The sequence below is a fragment of the Homo sapiens genome, chromosome 7 (genome assembly GCF_000001405.40).
Source record: "Homo sapiens chromosome 7, GRCh38.p14 Primary Assembly".
NCBI classification, from domain to species: domain Eukaryota; kingdom Metazoa; phylum Chordata; class Mammalia; order Primates; family Hominidae; genus Homo; species Homo sapiens.
In genome coordinates, this window is record NC_000007.14 from 50,009,693 (window position 1) to 50,035,498 (window position 25,806).

General features: G+C 34.0%; 1 protein-coding gene across 11 annotated transcripts in view; it reads right to left on the reverse strand.

The window, feature by feature from the left end:
- Nucleotides 1-25,806, reverse strand: part of ZPBP (zona pellucida binding protein) — a 252,593-nt gene that overhangs the window by 169,039 nt on the left and 57,748 nt on the right. For all 11 annotated transcript variants that reach the window (XR_001744543.2, XM_011515097.2, XM_011515100.3 and 8 more), the window contains 2 exons: nt 21,400-21,618; nt 8,548-8,624 (listed from right to left, as the gene is read on the reverse strand). Coding sequence is in view for 10 of the 11 variants with exons in the window: in XM_011515097.2 (XP_011513399.1) it covers nt 8,548-8,624; nt 21,400-21,618 (296 nt within the window). In the remaining variant the exon portion in view is untranslated. The remainder of the gene's footprint in view (nt 1-8,547; nt 8,625-21,399; nt 21,619-25,806) is intronic.

Below are 25,806 nucleotides of genomic sequence, written 5' to 3' on the forward strand. Positions count from 1 at the left end.
TCAGTTTACAGCTGACGTAATTGTGATAGAAAATCCCAAAGAATGCAAAACAAAACAAAACAAAATGAAAAAAGTCTAGAATAATTTAATATATCAAGTTTACAAGAAACTATATCAACACATAAAAATAAATTGCATTTGAACACACTAATAATGAACATTTGAAAACCAAAATTAAAACATAACGTTCTTCAAAATAACTCCAAAGAAGAGGAAATAATTACATACAAACTTATTAAAACACATAAAAGATCTGTATACTGAAAATTACAAAATACTGATAGAGGAAATAGCAGGCCTAAGAAGATGTAGAGACATATCATGTTCATGGACTGGAAGAATCAATATAGTAAAAATGTAAGTTTTCCCCAGAATTATATATAGGTTTAACACAATCCCTATCAAAATCCCAAAATGATTTTTGTACACATCTACAAGCTTATTCAAAATGTATATAGAAAGGTATGACCCTAAAGTAGCTAAAACAATCTTAACAAGAATACAGTGGGATGAATAACGCTACCATTAGTAAGTCTTACTAGATAGCTACAGTAGTCAAGACCATGTGATATTAGAAGACACAGAACAATGAAACAGAATAAAGAACCCAAAAATAGTCCCACACAAATATGTTCAACTGTATTTTAATGAAGATACAAAAGCTACTTAATGGAGAAAAGATGGCATTTGAACAAATGATTTTGGAACAATTGGACATCCATAGGCAAAAAAAAAAAGTAAAATAATCTTTAGCTTAAATCTCATGCCTTATAGAAAATTACTAAAACGTTATCACATCTTTGACGGGAAATGTAAGACATAAAATCCAATGTACACAAATCAGTTGCACTGCTGTACGCCACCAACGACCAAACTGAGAATCAAATCACGGACTCAACTCCTTTTATAACAACTGCAAAAATAGTGAAATGCTTAGGAATATACCTAATAAAGGAAGTAAAAGATCTCTACAGGAAAAACTATAAAACACTGCTGAAAGAAATCATAGATGACACTAACAACTGGAAACACATCCACGCTCATGGATGAGTAGAATCAATATTGTCAAAATGACCATCTTACCAAGGACAACCTATAAATTCAATGCAATTCCCATCAAAATACCATCATCATTCTTCAGAGAACTAGAAAAAATAATCCTAAAATTTATATGGAACCAATATAAAGGCCCCACATAGCCAAAGCAAGACCAAGCAAAAAAAAAAAAAAAAAAAACAAATCTGGAGTCATCACATTACCCGACTTCAAACTATACTATGAACTACAGTTGCCAAAACAGCATAGTACTGTATAAAAACAGGCATGCAGACCAATGGAACAGAATACAGAACCCAGAAATAAAGCCAAATACTTACAGTCAACTGATCATCAACAAGGTAAACCAAAACATAAAGTGAGGAAAGGACACCCTATTCAACAAATGGTGCTGGGATAATTGGCAACCCACATGTAGGAGAATGAAACTGGATCCTCATCTCTCACCTTATACAAAAATCAACTCAATATGGATCAAAAACTTACATCTAAGACCTGAAACGATAAAAATTCTACAAGATAACACTGGAAAACTCTTCTAGACACTGGCTTAGGCAAAGAGTTCATGACGATGAATGCAAAAGCAAATGCAACAAAAACAAAGATAAACAGATGGGACTTAATTAAACTAAAAAGCTTCTGCACAACAAAGGAAATAATCAGTAAAGTGAACAGACAACCATGTTGCCCACAAAGTCTAAAATATTTACTATGTGGTCCTTCACAAGGAAAATTTGCCAACCCATGACAGAGATGATCTGAACAACACCACCATCCACTTTTAGTTAATTATAAAACATTACACCCAACATCTACAGAGTATTTTAATATGTACATAATATATTCCGCAAGGCTAAATAGCATGTTGAATAAATTCAGAAGGACTTAAAATATACACAGTGTGTCTTTAACCAAAACAGAATTAAACTAGAAATTGATAATAAGATATTAGGAAAATTCCCAAAATCTGGAAATTAAGCAACCCACTACTAAATAACTCAAGAATCAAAAAGAAAGAAGGGGCCAGGTGTGGTGGCTCATGACTGTAATCCCAGCACTTTGGAAAGCCAAGGCGGGCGGATCACAAGGTCAGCAGTTTGAGACCAGCCTGACCAACGTGGTAAAACCCCGTCTCTACTAAAAATACAAAAATTGGCCGGGCATGGTGGTGAATCAGAAGGCTGATGCAGGACAATTGCTTGAACCTGGGAGGCAGAAGTTGCAGTGAGCCAAGACTGCACCACTGCACTCCAGCCTAGGCGACAGAGTGAGACCCCGTCTCAAAAAAGAAAAAAAAAAAAAGAAGGAAATTAGAAAAAAAACTGAAAATGAGAGAGAACACATACCACTCAACATATCAGAAAAGAGAGATAATCACTACAAATCTTACAAATATCAGAAAGATAATATTAGAAGCAATTTCATGCCAGAAAAATTTGACAATTTTGATCCAATATATGAGATTTTTGAGACACGCAACTCACTAAAAGTGAACAAAATGAACAGGAAAATCCAAATATCCCTACATGTACTTCAGATATAATTACTTATTGAAAACCTACCCACAAAGAATACTACAGGACCCAGTGCTTCAACTAGTGCATTCTATCAAACATCTTAAGGAAAGTAAACTAATAACTAAAAACATTTTCAGAAAATATAAGAGAAGGAAACAGTTACAAGTCATTTTGCAAGGCCACTATAGTCCAAATATCAAAACCTGACCAAGACATTACAAAAAATAACATGATATATAACTTATATATATAGATCCTTAATAAAACATTAACAAATATAATGCAGATATAAGTTGTTTTCAACAAGATCAGAAAAAATATTTGAAAAATGTAACACCCATTTGTAATGTAATCTCCCAGTAAATTGGGAATAGAAGAGAACTTCCTCATTCTGATAAAAGGTATCTATGAAAACCTAGAGTTTGCATCATACTAGATGGTACTTCCCCCTTTAGGATCAGGAGAAAGAAAAGGACACCCATTCTTGCCACATCTATTCAATGTTGTACTGTAGATTACAGGTATTCAGAGAAAACAGAATACATAAATAAAATGTACAAAAATAAAAATAATGAAGTAACACTGTCTCTATTTGCAGATGACATGATAGATTACATAGAAAATCCTCAGTAATCTGTAAAAAAACTCTATAATTAACAAGTTAATTTAGCAAGGTGGCATGATACAAGGATAATATGAAAATATCTGCTGAAAATTGAAACAACTAGCAGGTGAATTTTTTAATATTCCATTTAAAATAGCATCCAAATCCCCCACAAAAAACTTAGGAATAAATTTAACCCAAATGAATATAAGACCTTTACACTAAAAAATGCAAAAAGAAGATAATTTTTTTCAAATTGATATATTTAATTCTGCAGAGATAAAATTATTACATAGAAGACTGTTCCAACCCAAGCCCTATTATTTTATAATATAGTTATTTAAATTATTTTACAGTATAGTTGTTATAATGTCACTTGATGTATGAAGTTGAAAAAGAGAAATATAAAAACCTGCATAATGTAACAGTGATTGAAGAAAGGCATCACATTTCTCTGACTGTAAAGAATAGAGTAATTTCCATGGGAGAGCTCATGAAGGAGACCACCATGTAATGAAGTTCTTTTGGCATGTACAGAAGTTCAACATTACACAAATATAAATATATTGCAAATAAAATTTCTGTCTAAAGCCATCAGTAGCAAATGTCTTCTTATATTTATTATTATACTATTTCCAATTCTAGGTAATAATAGTCTATTTTGAAAAACATAAGACAATGGCATTTCTCCTTTCAAAGACTAATTTTTATTAATAATATTGTAAAGAGATGAAAAAATAATGGATTACGAATTTTCCAATATAAACTTTACCCAATTAAAATCTTTTTTTAATATTAGGGAATATTAGTCATCTTTCTTAAGAGTGATATGTCAGAGATGACCCCGATATGAAAGACTCAATAGATTACTTTCTGGGTTGTAATCAAGCTCCACTTGGTCTGATTTTCAACTGAAAACTTGAGTCAAGTAATTACACAATTATTTGAATATAATGACACTATGATAGCTTGACTTGCAAACATACTTAAAATAAATGGATGAATGAGTAAATACCATCTGCTATATATGGCAGTGGCATTGTTTTTCTTCTTCAACTTCTAGAAAAATATTAATCAATTATATATTATCCTATCATCCTTTATCTATTTCTGTTACAGTAACTACTACATTGCATACATAAGGTAACCTGTCTATATGTTGATTCTCCTACTTTCCCATGAACTTCTCTGAAGGAGGAGACAATATATTATTCATCTCCAAATAATCATATATATTAATTTTTTAAAACCTAGAGAGAGAAATGTAGCATTTTCATGTACTGGAAGATTGAATACTATTAAAATGGCACTTCTCACCAAATTGATCATTTCAAGGAAACTCCAATCCTAACCCAAGCAGTCCTTTTTGAGAAAATTGACATACAGGCTGATTCTAAATTTTCTTGGAAAGGAAAGGAACCTAGAACATCCAGAACAACCTTGACAAAAAATCGAAGTTAAAAACACTACTGACAAAAGATAATGAAGAAAGTATGGCACTAGCATAAGGACTGACAAAACAGAGAAGAGTGGAACGAAAATGGTACACTTAAGAAATATATTTATTTATCATTTTTTATTTATTCTTTCTTTTTCTTTTTTTTTTTTTTTTGAGACGAAGTTTCACTCTTGTTGCCCAGACTGGAGTGCAGTGGTGTGATCTTGGCTCACTGCAACCTTCACCTCCCGGGTTCAAGTGATTCTCCTGCCTCAGCCTCCTGAGTAGCTGGGATTACAGGCACCTACCACCACGCCCGGCTATTTTTTTTATTTTTAGTAGAGATGGGGTTTCTCCATGTTGGGCAGGCTGGTCTCGAACTCCTGACCTCAAGTAATCCACTCGCCTCAGCCTCCCAAAGTGCTGATATTACAGGCTTGAGCCACCACTCCCAGCCTAATACAACATATTTAAAACAAATCTTCAAAAGCTAGATACAACATCACTGGGACAAGTATGCCAAAGTAAATTTGGCCTTACTGTAGTCTGGAGACAATTTCAGTTACTTAAATCTTCCTAAAATCAAAAGATTGTATTTAATAATATATAAGATGCTAACACAAGATGAAAAGGTACTAAAGTTGAAAGGCAAATGAGACCAACAATGAGACAAATACATCAAATAATTTTTCAGATTTTTAAATGAAGGTGCTTTTGTGAAAATACCATTGCCTGCAAATTCTGAATTCTTTTTACATATGCCAATATACTGTTCTTATACTATCATCAAGACAGAAAAGTCCCAGCTGTTCTTTATTTTGCTGTAGCAAACCAAATAAGAAACTTCTGTGCTGAAGAAGAAAGAAAGATAAACATATTGCATTAAAAAAAAAAGTTTCCATGGGACAGGAAAAGTCAGACAGCAGATATTTGGGGGAGGAAAAGGAACAAATTAACTTAATGAAACTACAGACCTCTTGTACTCAAAGCTTCATTGTTTGGAAGCTTTAAAAATTATTTTGTGTTTCTATATAAAGCATAGTGATAAAATTGCCTTTCAGTAGAAAAGATTGAAATTTCATCCCTTCATTTCACCATATATAAAAATCAACTCACGATGGATTAAAGATTTAAACTATTAAAAACCCTAGCAGAAAGCTTAGGACATACCACTCTGAACATAGGCCTTGGCAAAGATTTCATGATGAAGTCTCCAAATGCAATTGCAACAAAACCAAAAATAGACAAATGGGACCTAATTAAACTAAAGAGCTTCTGCACAGCAAAAGAAACTATCAACACAGTAAACAGAAAACCTACAGAATGGGAGAAAATTTTTGCAAACTATGTATCCAACAAAGGTCTAATATCCAGAATCTATGAAGTACTTAACAAGCAAAATACAAACAACCCCATTAACAAAAGGGCAAAGGACATGAACAGACACTTCTCAAAAGAAGACATATAGGGAGCCAGCAAGCATATGAAAAAGCATATGAAAAAATGCTCCACATCACTAATCATGAGAGAAAAACAAATCAAAACCGCAATGAGATAGCATCTCATACCAGTAAGAATGGCTATTATTAAAAAGTCAGAAAATAACTGATGTTGGTAAGGTTATAGAGAAAAGAGAACACTTCTATACTGCTGGTGGGAATGTAAATTAGTTTAGCCACTGTGGGAAGCAGTTCGGAAATTTCACAAAGAAATTAAAACAGAACTACAATTTGACCCAACAATCCCATTACTGGGCACATACCCAAAGGAATATAAATCATTCTGCTATAAAGACACATGGATGTATATGTTCACTGCCACTATTTACAATAGCAAAGACATGGAATCAACCTAGATGCCCACCAATGGTAGACAGGATAAAGAAAATGTGGTACCTATACACCATGGAATACTATGCAGCCATAAAAAAGAACTAAATTATGTCCTTTGCAGCAACATGAATGCAGCTGGAGGCCATTATCCTCAACAAATTAATGCAGAAACAGAAAGCCAAATACCACATGTTGTCACTTATAAGTGGGAGCTAAACATTGAGCACACATGGACACAGAGAGGAACAACAGACACCAGAGCTTACTTGAGGGTGGAAGGTGAGGGTTGAAAAACAACCTATCAGGTACTATGCTCACTATCTGGGTGGCAAAATTATTTGTACACCAAACCCCAACGATGTGGAATTTACCCATGTAACAAACCTGCACATGTACCCCCTGAATGTAAAAGAAAAAAGAATAAATAAAAATGACATAAGAAAGCTCAAACAATTATCACCTTGAGCCCACCATCAGGGAAAATAATAAAATGGGTCAGATTCCTTCCCCTACTCCTAATCCCTATGCTTTAACACACATTCCAACCCCATTTCCAAATAAATTATCCTAGCTCAGGGTCTGTGACTGTTTAAGACTGGTAGAGGGTAAAAGATGTTTTAGGTAATAACTGACTAATGTTTATCACAGTACTCACATATTAAAAACTGAGAGAAGAAAATTAAGATTAAGTGCTCTCTTCATGGTGCCTCAAATCCTAAATCTTATTTCAAGAGTTAAAAAGAAGAAAACCTATCCCAAGGAAGAGAGGTAATGCTTAAGAAAATTTTTTAAATGAAGATATGAGATAATATGTGAATTAATGACTTAGACCAGCAGTTCCCAGCCTTTTTGGCAGCAGGGACTGGTTTCATGAAAGACAATTTTTCCACAGACTGGGAGGGTGGGGGATGGTTCGAGGGTGACTCAAGGGCATTACATTTATTGTGCACTTTATTTATATTATTATTACATTGTAATAAATCATGAAATAATTATACAACTCACCATAATGTAAAATCAGTGAAAGCTCTGAGCTTGTCTTCCTGCAACTAGAAGGTCCCATCTGGGGTTGACAGGAGACAGTGACAGATCATCAGGCATTAGATTCTCATAAGGAATACACAATCTAGATCCCTCACATGCACAGTTCACAATAGCATTTGCACTCCCATAAGAATCTAATGCTGCGCTTGATCTGATCTGACAGGAGAAGGCAGATCTCAGGTGGTAATACAAGCGATGGGGATGGGGGACTATAAACACAGTGAAGCTTCACTCTAGCCTGCCACTCACCTCCTGCTGTATGGCCTGGTTCCTAACAGGCCATGGATTGGTACCAGTCTGTGGCCAAGGAGTTGGGGATGCCTGACTTAAACTATATTTCAGGAGGCTTACTGAGTACAAATTAAGAAAGAATCCCCTTGTCAATTTCACTAGGCAAAAATAATGGATATTGATCTCTGTATACAATACTTATACCTTTAGTAGAAACACTTTACAACCATTATAATGTAAATAATTATATATGTCAAACATTTAAAAATATTACTGTTTACAATGTGTTTATGGTCAGTAAATTATAATTAGGCATAGGAAGATATTGTCATAAATTCATTGAACATGAACAATATGTTAAGTATAATGTAAAAAACAACTAATTTAAATTCCTTCTAGAAGATATAGCATCATTTTCACCCTAAGCATAGGTACAGGATGCCGGGTATGGAGCAAAGCAATATGAAAATAGATTAAAAGATGGTTCAAATTTGCTTGTTATTTATGATGGACAATGGTAACATGGACAATATTCTATCTGAATAATAACTATAAATTAATTAGCAATAGCAAATAAGGCAAAACAAATAGAAAAACCATTCTTCTTCATATAACCAATTACAAAAGGCTAAATTTGAAAGTATTTTATAAAGATACATTCTATTAATGTCTTATCTTTTATTAGTGGGTAAAGTTTTATTTTTATTGTTGAAATCCTTAACTGTGGGGATTCAACGTATTTTATAAATAGCTAGGATGCTTACTTACACATGGGGCATGTTCATTTAACTTTTTTTTTCCTTTTACCAGCCTCACATAACATACCTTAAAAAGTCTTTTGTAAGGTTCACAGTTATGGTCTGTACATCGCTTGGGTCCTTTTTCAGTGTCTAGAGATGAAACTGAGAAAATATATTATATTTTATCATGGGTATAATGTATTCTGTCACAATATTTAAATTGGATTTTGAAAAATGAAAGGATATTCTAACATTTCTCTTCCATTAAAATATTAAGCAATTTTCCTAGTGCTAAATGACTCTTCAGCAAAAAACCTAAGTCAACAATTTGCTTTCTATAAATCAAGACAACCTTATTTCTTCAGTGAACTTAAGAATTAATCAACTTTCCTGATAATGTTTGGCTGTTGATTTTGTAAAATCTGAGCAACAGATTTGTTTCAATTTTAATAACATACATATGTATATGTATGTATACATTTATGTGCATTCATTCAATACTGTATTTAACTCTATATAATATACTGTGTGTCATTTAACTCAATTCTTAATCTCTAGCTGCAAAATGATAGAGGTAGGACAAACTCTGATCACAATACTGGAAAGGGAAATGAGGTTGGATTTTAGTAGGGGCCATGGTAACTAAAATGATGAATATTTACATTCAGACATACATTCATTTATTTAATAAATAATTGCCAGGAGCCTACTGTGTGCCAGGAATTACTCTAGGTGCTTGGGATACATAAGTGAACAAAATCAACAAAATCCCATTGAATTTAGCAATGTAGAAATGAGTACTGTCTCTGCAAGATCATCTGAGAAATGTTCCTATTGTACTACAAGACTTAAAAAATACATGGAAAGAAATCTGATTTCTAGCCTGAGTTCTATAGGAGGTCTACTAATAAACACAGGTATAATGTAAAATAACATTTGAGGCCTCTACTCCAATTTGTAAAACAAGGGGCTGAATAATGTGATTTTTGTCACCCTTTCCAGTTATGAGGATATATTTAAAAACAAATACTTTACCCCAGCAATGAAAATCTCTATAATTTATCTACCAATCTTGACAATTTTGTTTTTCCCATAACTCTACTTGGATGCTATCCATTCGCTATTCTACTCCAAATATTGCTCTATGATGCCTGTGTACATGACTTTAAGTTGTTCATTTTCCATAAAATTCTTCCAAAACACCAATAATTTTTCATGGGCCTCCTTAAGTGTTCATCTCCTTAATAACATCTTCACTTCCTTAGAACCCATAAAACACTTGGTAACTCTTCTACAGTATTTACATAAGTTGTACTATTATTATATGAATATTTTCTTTTTACTATAATATAATCTTGAAGAGGGATCCTTACTCTCCTTTACCAACATTTACCTAGTATGTCATGTAAAATATGTCTGATGGACAACTGTTGATATGAAGATCATAAAATTGATCATAAAAGTATGAATATATGCAGAGTATATTCCCAGAATAATGGGAAATCTTTATTTTGTTGTTTAAACATATTTCTTTCATACCTTCCCAAACCCATACATGGTGTGAAACTTCACTCTTGCCATCTGAGTTGATATTATGAGGTACTATACAATATTATAGACAAGACAACAAAATCCAACCTAGTGATTTTATAAAATTAGATCAGTTAATTTCAGACAGAGGTCCAACTAGGGTCACAGACTTGGGGGAGAAAAGGTTTTATTTATATTCTATTTTTACCTTAAGTCCTTTTAAAAAATGAGATTATCTAAATCTAGGCCCAAGAAAAGTTAAATCTCTAAATTTTATCGCTTGAACCTGGAAGGTGGAGGTTGCAGTAAGCTGAGATCACGCCACTGCACTCCAGCCTCGGCAACAGAGTGAGACTCTGTCTCAAAAAAAAAAAAAAGAAAGAAAAGAAATATACGTAGAGTTATGAAAAGCACTAGCAAACTGTAGCCAGGTCTTTTAAGTATTAATAACCTAAGGTACAGCTTTTGAATGGACTGTCCACAAAGTAATTCAGAAGGTGGCAGACCTGAGTCTACCAATGCATCATAAAATGATTATGAGATTGAATCATCACGATAATGTAAAATTTTCTTACTTTTGAATCTTTATACAAGTTTAAGGCAATTTTTAACATTCATTAAGATCTACTATTCATGAAACTAATGCAAAACTGTCAGAAACCACAAAATAGAATCAAAAGAAATATAAGGTCTTTTCTTATCTATCTTTTCAGAATCAGTATACACAAAAGATTGCTAAAGTAACAAATATCTAGGAGACTGTTTCAGCCCAAGTCCAGTATTAATGGTGTCAACAGGCAACAGACATTATATCCATCCCCACCATATCAGGCAAACCACATGACACTCATGTTTTCTGCATCAGCTATCTCCTCCTAAGCTTCTCGCACATCCCCTCTTTATTTAGGCTAGTTGACTAACCTCATCCTGTATACAATCACCTAGCTTTTTGTAAGATAAGTTTTCTACAAGATTAAAAAATAAAGAAGATAGGAATGATGCCAGCAAAAATAGTAAAGAAGAAAACTGCTGGCCACCTTTTTCCATAGAAACATGGAAAAAAATGAAGAAAAATGGTCAGAATCAACTTTTGTCAGAACTCCAGAAAATGATCAAATGTTTACAACAACCAAGTGAATGCTAAATCAACAAAAGATAACTTCAACACAGAATATAAGAAAATCTCTGTCAAGTCAGTAGCTAACCACAAAGGTCAAAGAGAATTCAAAGGTTAAATATGTGTATGTAACAAAAGTTCAGGTAAATGGAAGACAGACCTCAGAGGACATGACAAAAGATGCAGAAAATTATGAAACAAACAACTACAACTCATACAAGCAAGAAACATACACACTGAAGAGGCAGAAGGATCTGATTTCAAAAGTATCCATTACAATATTTTAAAATGCAAAGTTTTCAAAAAAAATAGTAGTTATATAAAGAAACAAGAATGTATGGCCCATTCACAGAGAACAAAATATAATAGAAACTGTCCCTGAGGAAACACAGACATTGGACTTGCTGTATAAAAACTCTAAATCAGCTATCTTAAATATGCTCAAAGAACTAAAGAAAACCATGAACAAAGAACTAAATAGGGAAAATGATGCCTTCACAAATAGAGATTATCAATAAAGCAAAATAAGTTACAGGACAAAATCTAATAAAAATTATGGAGCAGAAAATTGTTAACAACTGAAATGAGGAATTCACTAAACATTTTCAACAACAGATTTGAGCAAGCAAAAGAAAGAATTAGTGAACTTGAAGACAGTTCACTGAAATTATCCAGTCAGAGAAGAAAAAAAAAATTTTAAGTGAAGAGAACCTAAGACATCTGTGTAACAACATCAAGTGTACCACCATATACATGATGGGAGACACAGAAGGAGAGAAAAATGAGAAAGTGGCAAAAAGAGTATTTGAAGAAATAATGGCCAAAATTTCCCAAATTTGATAAAACACATACAAGATAAATAGAATCCACATAGGGTAAATACAAGGAATCCCACACTGAGACAAATTATAATGAAATTTTCAAAAATCAAAGACAGAAGCTTCTAGGTTGCTGAACATGCAGAGATACTGGGTGGTGGTGTGCCCAAAGTGGGCATGTAAGCTCCAGGCCCCTTCCCACATGCCTTGCCCTGTGCATCTTTTCCATCTGGCAGTACATCTGTATCTTCTGTAATATCATTTATAATAAATGGGCAACCATTTTTTAAAAAATCAAAGACAGAGAGTCTTAAAAGCAGCAAGAAAGAAGTAATTTGTCACATACTAGGTGTCCACAATAAGACGAACATCAGATTTTTCATGAAAAACCACAGAGGATAGAAGGCAGTGGGATGATATATTTAAAGAACTGAAATAAAAACACTTCAACCAAGAATCCTGTATCTGGCAAAACAAGCTGTCAAAAATGAAGGAGAATCTACGATCTTCCAAAAATCAACAGCTGATGAAGAATAGATAGTAACTTGTTACTACAAACAAAAAAAGAATACTGGCAAAAGTAACTACACAGGAGTACATCTAGGTAAATATAAAACGTAAATATAGATAAATATAACAGTCAGTATTCTTTTTTCACTCATCTTTTTTATATGATAATAATGACAAATGAATAAAACAATAATTACAATCTATGTTAGTGGATACACAATATATAGTAATGTAATTAGGGACAATAGCATAGAGAAGGAGTGACCTTCACAGGAGCAGAGTTTTGGAATACTATTATAACTAAGCTGGAATCAATTCAAACTAGTTTCTTACAAGTTTGAAATTCTAATTATAGTTCTCAGGTTAGCCACCAAGAAAACAACTAAAATATATTAATAAAATGAAATGAGAAGGAAATTTAAACGGTATTCTATAAATAATGAAACACAAAAGAAGGTAGTAACAGGGACAATCAAACAAAAAAGATATGAGACATCTTCTGGTTTCTATTTGACATCTACGGAACTTGTCAGTTGTCAGGCCTGTATCAACAACAAAAAAATCCGCAACTTTTCTTAGACCCATCAGAAAATTGAGGTCACTGGGAAAACTGCAGCTTCCAAAAATGTAGAGGCAGATAGGTGTATACAGAGAATCACAACTTACCAGGAGCAGAAGCCTGCTACTGGAGCCATTACCAGGATAATTTAAATTATAATTGAGGGACTGCTAAGAAGTTCAGAGTGGACAAGCTCCACAGTTAAAACTGCAATGAGGAGTATTCTTGGGCAGTAGGGGAGGGCTTCCAAACTTCCCTGAGCTTTATGTCTAGGAAACCCCACAAGTTCTCAGGGTTAAGACTGGAGGAAAATCTTGTGCTTCTAGCAAATGGAAGGAGAAAAGTAACCACTTAGAAGTAAACCAAACCAAAGTACAACAGGAGCATCTGAAGTACAGCTAGTATTTTGGAAACCCCGCCTCAAGAGAAATACCTTAACAAAGTTTCATTTTTACCAGAGTCTCAATGACCTGGCGGAAGGGAAATACCAAATTCAAACCCCCTCTAGCCCTCTCAGTGTAAATTGAGAAAGAGAAGCACTTGTGAAGGTCTCAGGCGAAGGACTCAGGCTCTCTGAAAAAACTGAGAGCAAATCACAGACTTACAGGATGCTTACCCCCCATACATGCATACATTACCACTATATTTACAGTGTTCCGTATAATGCCATGGTGTTATTATGGAAAGCATTTCAAGTCTTATTCAAGAAAAAGTCTCCATATCACTCAAAGACCATAGGAAAGACAATAACAAGACGATAAAAAAAAATGTAGCCTCTAGTACTACGATAAACAGTAAACAAAGCCCAAATCCCAGACAGATAAACAGAAATATCACACACTAAAAGAACTATTTAACTAATTTTTTACTACCTAGTGCATAATGTTCAGCTTTCCACACACATACACACACACAAAAATGGAAAACATACTAAAAGTCAATTAAACACAGTTTCAAGAAACAGAGCAACCATCAAAACCAAACTCAGATACGGCAGAGATTTGGGAATTATGGTACAGAAATGTAAAATAACTATGAATAACATGCTAAGAGTTCTAATGGAAAAAATGGGACAAGATGCAAGAACAGAATGGATAATGCAGTGAGAGAAATGGAAACTCTAAGAATCACAAGGAAATGCTAGGTATCAAAATCACTTTAACCAAAATGAAGAATGCCTTTGATGAGCCCATCAGTGGGGCTGGGGGAAAGAATTAAATAGATTGAAGCTTGAAAATACATCAGTAGAAATTTCTCAAAAGAAGAATTAAAAAAACAAGAAAAGAATATCCAAGAACTGTGGAATAATAGCATAAGTTGTATAATATACAAAATGGTAATGCCAGAAGGAGAAGAAAAAAAGGAAAAAGTGCTTAACATCACCAATAATCAGGGAAATGCAAATGAAAACCACAATGGGATATCATCTCATGCCTGCAGGATGGCTGTTGTCAAAAAGATGATAGATAATGTAGTGGTGACGGTGTGGAGAAACTGGAACCCTTGTACGCTGTTAGTAGGAATGTATGTTGGTACAACAATTGTAGAAAACAGTATAGAGGTTACTAAAGAAATTAAAAATAGAACTACCATTTGACCAAGCAATCCCTCTTCTGGGTACATATCCAAAAGAAATGAAACCACAACCTCATACATTTATCTATGCTCCCATGTTCACTGCAGCATTATTCATAACAGCCAAGATATGGAAATAACCTAAGTGTTCAATCATGGATGACTGGATAGATATAAATAAATATATAAATAATGCATTATACACACACACACACAGAGGAATATTATTCAGCCTTAAAAAAGGAGATTCTGCCATTTGCCACAATACAGATGAACCTGAAGACATATGTTAAGTGAAATACTATAGGCTCAGAAAGAAAAATACAGAATGATCTCACTTTAAGAAAAAAAACATTGAATACATAAAAGCAGGAAGTAGAATGGTGGTTACCCAGGGGCAGGGCAGGGGTGGGAGTAATAAGGAGATGTGAATCAAAGTGTACAAAGTTGTAGTTAAGAAGGATGAATAAATCTAGAGATCTGATGTTCTGATGTACCACACGAGGACTCTAGTTAATAATACGGTATTATATGCTAAAAACTTGCAAGAAGAGTCATTTTACCATGAGTCATGCTCTTACCATGGGGTGGAGGGGAAAAGAAAGATAATGATGTGAGATAATAGATATGTTAGTTTGCTTGACTTGCAATAGTTATTTTAATATATACATATATGTGTATAAACATGTTGTATAACTTAAATTTATAGTTAAAAATTGTTTTAAAAAGTCAATTGCTTTCCTATGTACTTGTAATAAACAACTGTAATTTGAAAACAATGAAATGCCATTACACTAACAAAAATGAAATATATAACAAAATATGTGCAATATCTGTATGAGGAAAACTGTAAAACTCTGATTAAAAAAATCAAAGATCTAAGTAAATAAAAAGATATTCCATGTTCATAGATAGGAAGATCCACTATTGTTACAATGTCAGTTCTTGCCAATTTGATATATACTTTAAACTCAGTGACACTCAAAATATCAGTAAAATATTTTGTGTTTATCTACAAACTGATTCTAAAATTTATGTGAAAAGGCAAAAGACCTAGAAGAGCCAACACATTATTAAAGGCAAGAAATACAGAGGACCAACATTACCCAACTTCAGGACTTACTATAAAACTACAGAATTCAAGATAGTATAGTACTGATGAAAGAACAGACAAAGAGACCAATGTAAGTGAACAGAAATCCCAGAAATATACCCATGTTAATATATTCAACTGATCATTCACAAAGGAAAAAAACGGCAATTCAAGGGAGAAAATATAGTCATTTAAAAAATGATGCTTGACCAACTGGATATCCACATGCAAATAAATCTAGACTTATACCTTTCACCAAAATTAACTTCATAATATAATCACAGACATCTTTGTAAAATACACAAAACTGGAAAGCTGGAAACAAAGAAAATTAAAGTGACCTTGGGTTTGTTAATGACTTTTTACATACAAATTTGCATGTAAAAATGTGTGTGTCTATACTTTGCTCAATTTTTCTGTAAAAATTGTAAAAACTGCTCTAAAAATAGTCAATGTAAAAAAAACCCACACAACATAGAAAATGTGCAGCAAAAAGGCAAAAGTAAGTCCTCCCTTATCAGTAATAATTTCAAATATAAGTGGTTTAATTTAAAGGCACCAATTAAAAGGCAGAAGTGGACATAATGGATAAAAATGCAGGATCTAACTATTGTCTGCAAGAGATTCACCTTAGGTGCAAAAACAGAAAAATAGGTTAAAAGTAAAGGGATGAAAAAAGATATTTTGTGCAAATAGTCATCAAATCTAGACAAAATGGACAAATTGCTGGAAACACACTACTCTACCAAAACTAACTCAAGAAGAAACAAAAATATAAACAGATCTCTACACAAACATCAGAGAAAATAAACTTTAAGTCAAAAATTGTTACAAGATGCAAAGAAATGCATTATATTTTGATAAAAGGGCCAATCTATTAAAGAAGATATAACATTTATAACTATATAGGCCTCTAACAACAGAGTCCCAAATTATATGAAGAAAAAACTGACAGAACTGAAGGGAAAAGCAGATAATAATAGTGGAAGACATCAATACTGCACCTTCAATATTGAATATAAAAGGCAGAAGATCAATAAGCAGATAGAGCACTTGAACAACACTAGATCTATACAATATACACAGGACCCTCCACCCAACAACAGGAGAATACACATACTTCACAAGTACACATGAAACATTCCTCCAGGAAGACCATATGTGTAACCACAAAAGAGTCTCAGTAAGTATAAGAAGATGAAAATGATATAAAGCAGCTTCCATAATCTGAGAAACAAAAATAGATGCCCCTTTATCAACTAAGATGGACCCCAAGGTTAAGAAAACAAAAATTAGCTATGAGCTAAAGGTTCAGGGCTCAGCTGGCATGTCAATTCCCTAAATTTCTATGGCTACAAAAAACAAACAAACAAACAAAAAAACCACACACACACACCTTGCTAAACTCTTTAACAACAAGAGCTATTAGACAAATTGCCAGACTCCCTTCCTAACTCTGATTTACAACCCAGACCACTAAAATTCTGACTGGATAGAGAATCTGCCTTACAAATACTCCTTCCTGAAAGGCAACTGCAGACCTTAAGCCAGTTTCAGCAAGCTAATAGAGACTGCACACAAATTCTTTGTGTTTTATAGTCAACCTTTCAATAGACAGAGCCAAATTCTACCTCATTTTAATGCTAAAACCCCACCCCAAAGTGAACACGGAACGTTAAGTTACATACATGTCTACCCATTGAACATGTGCTCAACCCCCCCTCATAAATATGTATAGCTTTACCCAAAACAAGCTGAATATGTAAGACCCTATTGTTAATATGGACCCTTCCCTTTGGAAGAGAGAGTGCCTTCAGTCCACACCAGAGACCATATCTTCCCAAATTGCAAGTTGATGTCACCAATAAATCTCTTCTTTCTACTATTTAGCCATCCTGGTGGTCATTTGGACTAGACTTCTATGACCACAAAAGAAAGAAATCAGAAAGTCTTAACAGAAGGACATCTAGAATGTATACAAATATGTGGAAATTGAACAACATACTCCTAAACAACAAACAGGTCAAAAAAATTATAAGGGAAATTAGAAAATACTTGTAGATGAATGAAAATGAAAATACAACCTACCAAAAAGTATGGGTTGCAGTTAAAGCAGTATTCAGAAGGAAATGTATGGGTGTAAACACCTATACTTAACAAGAAGAAAGATTTCAAATCAATTACTTAACGTCACACCTTAAGAAACTAGAAAAAGAAGAATGAATTAAAACCAGAGGTAGCAAAAAGAAGGAAATAATAAAGAGTAGAAAAGATATAAAATACAGAATAGAAAAAGCAATAAAGAAAACAAAACTGGTTTTTGGAAAAAATGCAATAAAATTGACAAACATTCACATAGAGAAATCAAAGTAGAGACATTACTACCTACCTTTCAGAAATAAAAAGGATAACAAGAGAACAATATAAACCATTGTAGGCCAATAAATTAAGTAACCTAAATGAAATAAATCGCTAGAAACACACAAACTACCAAAACTGACTCAAGAATAAACAGAAAATATGAATAGGTCTATAACTAAGTAAGGAGTTTGAATCACTAATCAAAAACCTGCCAACAAAGAAAAAACCAGAACCCAAAGGCCTCAGTGATTAATTCTATCAGTTAAAGAAGAATTAAATAAAATTCATCTCACTTTCTTCCAAAAGAATAGAAGAGGAGGTAACACTTCCAAACTCATATCATGAAGCTAGCATTACCCTGACACCAATGCCAGAAAATTATATGATTACAGGCCAATATCCATTATGAATGCAAAATTCTTAATTAAAAAATAGCAAACCAATTCCAGCAGTATGGTAAAGAATACACCATGACCAAGTGGGGTATAATCCAGGAATGCAAAGATTGTTGAACATATAACAATCAAAATAGAGTACAATGCATTAATAGAAGGCAGGGTGAAAATTAAAAAAAAAACACATGATAATCTCATTTCATATAAAAGTAGTACTTAACAAAATACAAAGTCCTTTCATTATAAACCCACAGCAAGTATCATACTCAACAGTGAAAGACTGAAAGCTTTCCTCCTAAGATCAAGAACAAGACTAAGATGCCAATTGTGCCACTTCTACTAAACATTGTGCTGGAAGCCCAAGCAAGAGCAATTTTGCAAGAAAAAGGTGTAAAATGTATCCAGGGTGGAAAGTGTGAAGTAAAACTATTGCTATCCACAGACAACATGATCTTCTATATAAAAACTACTAAAGATTTCACACACACAAAAAAAACACTATTAGAGCTAATAAAGGAATTCAACCAAAGGTGCACAATCCATTTTAAAAAAAAAAAAACCCAGTGTATTTCTATACACTAGCAATGACCAATGTATAAAGGGAATTAAGAAAATTCTACTTATAATAGCATCAGAAATAATAAAATACTTAGAAATACATTTGTCAAGAGTTACAGGACTATAGTTATACACTGAAAACTGTAAAATGCTGCTGAAAGAAATTACACAAGTTCTAAATAAATGCAAAGCTATCCTGTGTTCACAGATTAAAAGACTTAATATTGTTAAGGTGGCAATAATATCCAAAGCTATGTCCAGATCCAATGAAATCCCTATCAAAACCCCAATGGTAATTTTTGTCAGAAACGGAAGAGATGCTAAAAATCATATGGAATTACAATCTCAAATTACCAAAACAATGTTGAAAAGGAAGAACAAAATTGGAGGCACTCTCACTTCTCAATTTCAAAAGTGCCACAAATCAAACAGTAATCAAAATGGTGTACTGACAGAAGAACAGAAATACAGAACAATGAAATAGAATTGAGAGTTCAGAGATAAGCCCATATATTTACGGTTAACTGACTTTCAACAAGGATGCCAAGACCATTCAGTGTGGAAAAGAATGGTCTCTTCAACAAATGTTCTTGGACAACCAGACAGCCACATGCAAAATATGAAGTATAAGGTTGAACCCATACCTCATACTATATATACAATTAGCTCAAAATGAATCTTAGACGTAAGTGTAATAGCTAAAACTACAGAAGGAGTAAATCTTGATGACCTCAGATTTGGCAACATATTCTTAGAAATGCCACTGAAAGTACAAGAAACACAAGGAAAAAATAGGTAAATTGGACATCATCAAAATTAAAATCAACTGGGCATCAGAGGATATTATTAAGAAAGTGAGGAAACAACCTATAAAATGGAAGAAATATTTGCATATCGCATATTAACAAGAATACAGTATTTGGAATATATAAAGAACTCTTACAACAACACCAAAAAGACACACAACCAAATTTTAAATTGAGCAAAGGACTTGAATAAACATTTCTCCAAAGAAGATACACAGATAACCAATGAGCACAGGAAAAGATGCTCAACAACATTTGCCTTTGGAGAAATGCAAATCAAGCCCATAATGCTTTATTTCTATTGGAAATAATCTCTTTAATGAGTCTAGTATACTTTCAGCTTTTGTTTTTTGTTGTTGTTGTTGTTGCTGTTGTTGTTGTTGTTGTTGTTGTTCTTTTAACAGATTCTCACTCTGTCAGCCAGGCTGAAGTGCAGTGGCACGATCTCGGCTCACTGAAACCTCAGCTTCCCGGGTTCAAGTGATTCTCCTGCCTCAGCCTCCCAAGTAGCTGGGATTATAGGCCCATGCCACCAGGCCCGGCTAATTTTTGTATTTTTAGTAGAGGCAGGTTTCGCCATGTTGGCCAGGCTGGTCCCAAACTCCTGACCTCAAGTCATCCACCTGCCTCAGCCTCACAAAGTGCTGAACCTGAAGAGAGCCAAACTTTCAGGTTTTCTAAGGACTGATCTACCTATTAAACAGACCCAGGGGCTGGGGAAAAACTCTCAATGTATTTCTGGTGAAGAGGAGAGAGAGGGAAGGACAGGGAAGGGAAGGGGAATAGCAAGGGGAGGGGAGGGCAGAGGAGAAGGAAAGAGAGGAGAAGAGAAGGGACCCCAGGTGAAAAGTAAGGAAGATAAAAGACAGAAAATGAGGCTGAACTTGTTTTTTTCCCTTAAAGCTTCATGCCTCTCAATTGTGCTTCTAAAACTTCAATCCTAGATGGCCAAAAAAGAAAGAGAAGGGAAAGTCAGGGAAATGATTAAATACAATCAAACTCTGATAGCAGAGAAATAATAATTTAAAAAAAAACCCTAAAAAAGGAGAAAGGAAACTAGCAAGCAATAACATTTGAGATGAAAGGGGAAGGGTGCCCTACTGTCACTCGGACCCCTTAAAAACACATGCGTGGGTATTCCTAAGTGGTCATTCATAAACCATTATAAATATAAAGATAAATATAAAGATATAAATATAAAGTCCAATTCTTTGTTTTCCAGAAAACACTGGGCCTCTACTCCACATTATTAAGAAAAGCATACTAAGCTGGACGGTTCCTCTGGTCTATGATATTAACCCGTCTTATAATTAGATGATTTTACAAATTAAATCATTATATCTAAATATCATGACATTCCTTATACTAAATTCCACTCTACAGTAAATTATCATAGCAGTGTAAGTTATTGAGAGAACAAACTTTTCATTAGTACACGAATCAGCAGAATTCTATTTGAGGGGTTAACAGCACTAAGTCAAAGTAGAGAACAAAATATATTTGGATGTATGGTGTTTATGTTTATATCATAAAAATGCTGTGAGTAATTAACAACTTTTTTAACTATTAGTTATGTGTTCTCCATTTGCTTTTCTAACAAATTGTATAGACTTACCTGAAAATGCAAAGAACAATTCATTTTGCAAACCAGCTCTTTGCATTTTAACGCGATGGCATTCAGACTTAAGTAAGGAAATTTCACATGAAAGGTCAAGAAGCAGTTTGCTTAAAATCTGAAGAAGTTTCTTCTCAAAAGAAATATTATAAATGCTATTGCAGGGAGCTGCATGATATCGAGCTGTGAACTGATAATAATAATGAGGCTCACGATAAGCTGTAAAAAATTAACAAGAGAAAGACACAAAAATGGTTATTTAAATAATTCAAACATATTGCAACTATTTAAGAAATATCATTATTTGGTATGAATTCTTGGTACATGTTTTTAGATATAATTATATTTATTTTTAGTTCTCCAACACTTATCTTGCAGTTACTAAGTACCAAATACTATGATAGACACTTTACAAATAGTGACTCATTTGAATCTCTCAACATCATTAAGATTTTCTATCCATCATAAAGAAATTGAGGGCGGCAGGGATTATGTCACATGTCCAATGCCTATGCTATCAAAACTAAGATTCTAACTTACCGAGCCTGGTCCCAGAGCCTCTTTTATTTACCTCAACACTATGCTGCTCAAACTCAGGTACAACACTTCTCTAAGTTTAAATATTTATCTTGGAAGAAATTAAAGTCATATAATTATGAACAATATTCAAAAATATATGTTTCTAATAAATACACAATTAGTTTTATTGAGTTGAGTACAACATCTGGAACTGAGAACACACACACACACACATATATATATATATTTTGCCCATCCCAAATTCTCACTGAAATGACACAAGAAAAATAAAAATGAAAAGAAATTCACTACAATACCAAAAGTCAGAAAAGTTCATCTTCCAAAACAGGGCGCTCTGTTGCTACTTCTGTCAAACAAGGGAGACTTCCCTGCCTGTTCCTGGATTACGCTCAGGAAAAGCTTCCTGCACACACTGAAGTGCACCCAGCCATTGTTTACTTTCTTACCTACACATTTAAGCTAAAATTAAGTACACATACTTAGCTACTGTCCATCTTTGTATTTGGAGTAGAGACCAGACAGCTTCTAATTGCTGAGGAAACCTCTATAGGTTTCATTTCTGAACAGGAATTCTAACATGCTTTTTGTACTGATTCATCCATCAGCGTAGGTACACATTTATCATGTATATATTACATATATCATGATTTATAATATCAAAGATATGTAATATATACAAATATCACATAGAATAACTGAACCTGAGGGGTCAGAGCTGGAACTATAGTTGAGTCACAGTATGACTGGGGACAGGGAAAGAAAACTTTTTCTCTCCAGAAATCTGACTCATATCAAGGTATTACCTGAAATAGAATTAAGTCTGAATTTAAGTCAAAATATCCCCCAAATTCTCTGAAACACTGTATCAAAAGTATACTCTTCTGAGTGTCCAGCAGAAGTACACACAAACCAGCAACAATTCAGGATCAGCTTATGTGCCTAAAAGAGTTAACGTTGCAGGTGGGAGGCTGCTTGCAGGATTAGCCCTTGGCTGGTAAACACCTCCCTACACAGTCAGGAATCTTTTTCTTCATGATAAAACTGTCTTCTTAACCGATGCACTGAACATCTTTTTGCCTTCTGGGAGTCTGAGATTGTTGTAGTTGGTAGGCAAAAGTGCCTACAGAACTGGTCCCTAATAAACATTCTGGATGTGTTACTGTTTATTCTGTTGCTTTTGTTTTTTCTTCAAAATCTCTCGCAAATCCTAAAGTATCTTCAAGATGATTCATGGAATAGACTTTAAATACACTTAAGTACAGATTTCTGACATCACTGAGATAATACAATTAGACTGGGTAAGAATTTGAGTAACTCCAATTTTAAAAACTGGACTCATAAAATTGCTAATCTAACATGAAGCAGAAAAAGAATTATGTGGGACTGAACTGATGTAGGACTAAAATTATTTTTATCACTTTTTGTTGAAAACATTGCTGATTACTTTTTTTTTTCCAGAGTCAAGAAAGCTTTTTTTTTAGCTACTTATAGTTTGCAGGAGTTGGGTAAAGCATATTTTTGAAAGCAAAATCAAAACATTTGCCTTTCTCTCTGATTTCTTCTGAATTGAGAAACTAACCATAAATATTTTTAATTTATGGCAATATAGTTATTTGCATAACATTAATAAGAATCTGTTTCCTTTCATAATAAGACACAGTTGAAAACACATATTACAAAGGCTTTGATTGCGATGTCACATTTTCAGGTATGACCAGGCTGCTTTAAGGAACTAAAGGTTAACTAGGATCCAATTAATCCCTTGGAAAAACTGCCCAAGTACCCTGTCTACATGGTTCTTTACAGGGTTACTAGCCTTGTGGTAAGTAAAAAAATATCAGTTTCTGAGAGGCATAGCATACTCTAAATATTTTGGGGACTTCAAGAAAAGAATTCACTCAAGTACTACAGGTAAAATCTGAGGGTGAGTCCATAGCTTGACTTCCTAAACTGGAGAGGATTTTAAAAGTCTTTTCCTTATGACAAGTTCCAGCAAAGCCAACTTTAAAAGAGTCTATAATAACGTCAATAATTATTCTTTCTACAGTTTATTTATTTATTTATTTATTTATTTATTTAGAGATGGAGTTTAGCTCTGTTGCCCAGGCTGGAGTGCAGCAGCACAATCTCTGCTCACTGCAGCCTCTGCCTCCCAAGTTCAAGTGATTCTCCCGCCTCAGCCTCCCAAGTAGCTGGGATTACAGGTGTGCACCACCATACCCGGCTAATTTTTGTATTTTTAGTAGAGATGGGGTTTCACTATGTTGGCTAGTCTGGTCTCGAACTCCTGACCTCAGGTGATCCACTTGCCTCGGCCTCCCAAAGTGCTGGGATTACAGGTGTAAGCCACTGTGCCCGGCCTTGCTACAGTTTATATAACTAATCAAGCCAACTATAATGAGGCTAAAACTTCCTTAACAACAAAACTGGACTCACTGTGATCTTTGGTAGAAATAGGTGACCAGAGAGAGAAAAATTATGTTTCAAGAAAAATTTAAAAACTATAGTGTGCCTGTTATTAGATTCTAGCTTTGTCCATTTGTTTTTGAGGGTTTTTTTTTTTTAATTATCTAGGCTGAGTCTTGAATTTTTAGTTTCTTCCAATATCTGACTATGACTCTGCAGACTAAAATTTCCAATATTTCTCCCACTCACTCATCTGACTTGAAATCCCTAGACATCAAAACTGCTTTTCCTAAAGCCCCCTGCAAGTTAATGCTAGACAACCTGATACAAACTTTGGAGAAATCACTACAACAACTTATGTATGTACAGAAAGTTCAGTGGAACACCTGATTCAAACTACAATCTGGGAAAATCTATCAAATTGCCACTCCCTGCCCATCCCAACTGAAATGTTTTGAGTCAAAATCTAAAATATTCTCAGCTGACTGCCCTCCAAACTCAAAGACTAGTTTGCAGACTGCTCCAGATGTTAACTTTTGTTTTTCTGTGTTTTCCATAAAAATGATTCCAACTAAATACCAGTGTGCCTATACCATATAGAAACCAAATTTGAAAAAAAAAACTCACCTCTAACACCATCTCCTGAAATCAGGCTCACCTGTTCAACTAAGCTTATTATTCTCAGGACTAAGAGATTCATTCAATAAGATATGGAATCCAAATTTGTTCCTTTCTACTTGTTTCAATCTGTTTCTCACCCTTTGCCAGGTTAGAACCTCTAATCCAAATCTCCCCAAAGCTACCAACTTGGAATTTAATATGTAAAACTTTCTAAAACTAAAGCTGTAAAAGGGGGACTGAAGAAAAACAAAATATTTCTTCCCCAAATATTGAGGATTGTAAGGTTAAAGACGCTGAAAATGGAGGGGACCATTCTGCCTTAGCCTCTATTTGCCCGATGGCAGGACACCAATCCTTCCTTACTGGAGACAACACTTGCTAATCTGTCCAGAGAAAGCACCAGCAGGCACCAAAGGAATCTGGGAACAGATTTTACTATCATCCCACATTTTCTAATCTTTTAGAAGACTGGAACTGCTCTCTCCTATGTTTTGTCACTAAATTGGATTTGTGGCTCTTTGTTAAAATATTATGTAAGCAAGGCCCCTAAGCCACCAATCGGAGATACTTTTGATTTGAGGCCTCTCCAGCATGATAGGTACAGCACACGCATAAACTTCTGCCACTTTCTCCCTTGTTAACCTGGCTTTTGTTTTCAGCAGTGTCTCAACTAAGAAGTTATTCAATTGCCAGCACAGTTCAAGGCCACTGCCTTGCTTTCTACTAAATAGGTGACAGTAATTCACCCACCATAAGTGCAAATATCAACACAGTAGAAATAGCAAATAATGTCTTAGTATAATAATAAATTAGTTTTCACTTTACTGATCCCTTGAAAGT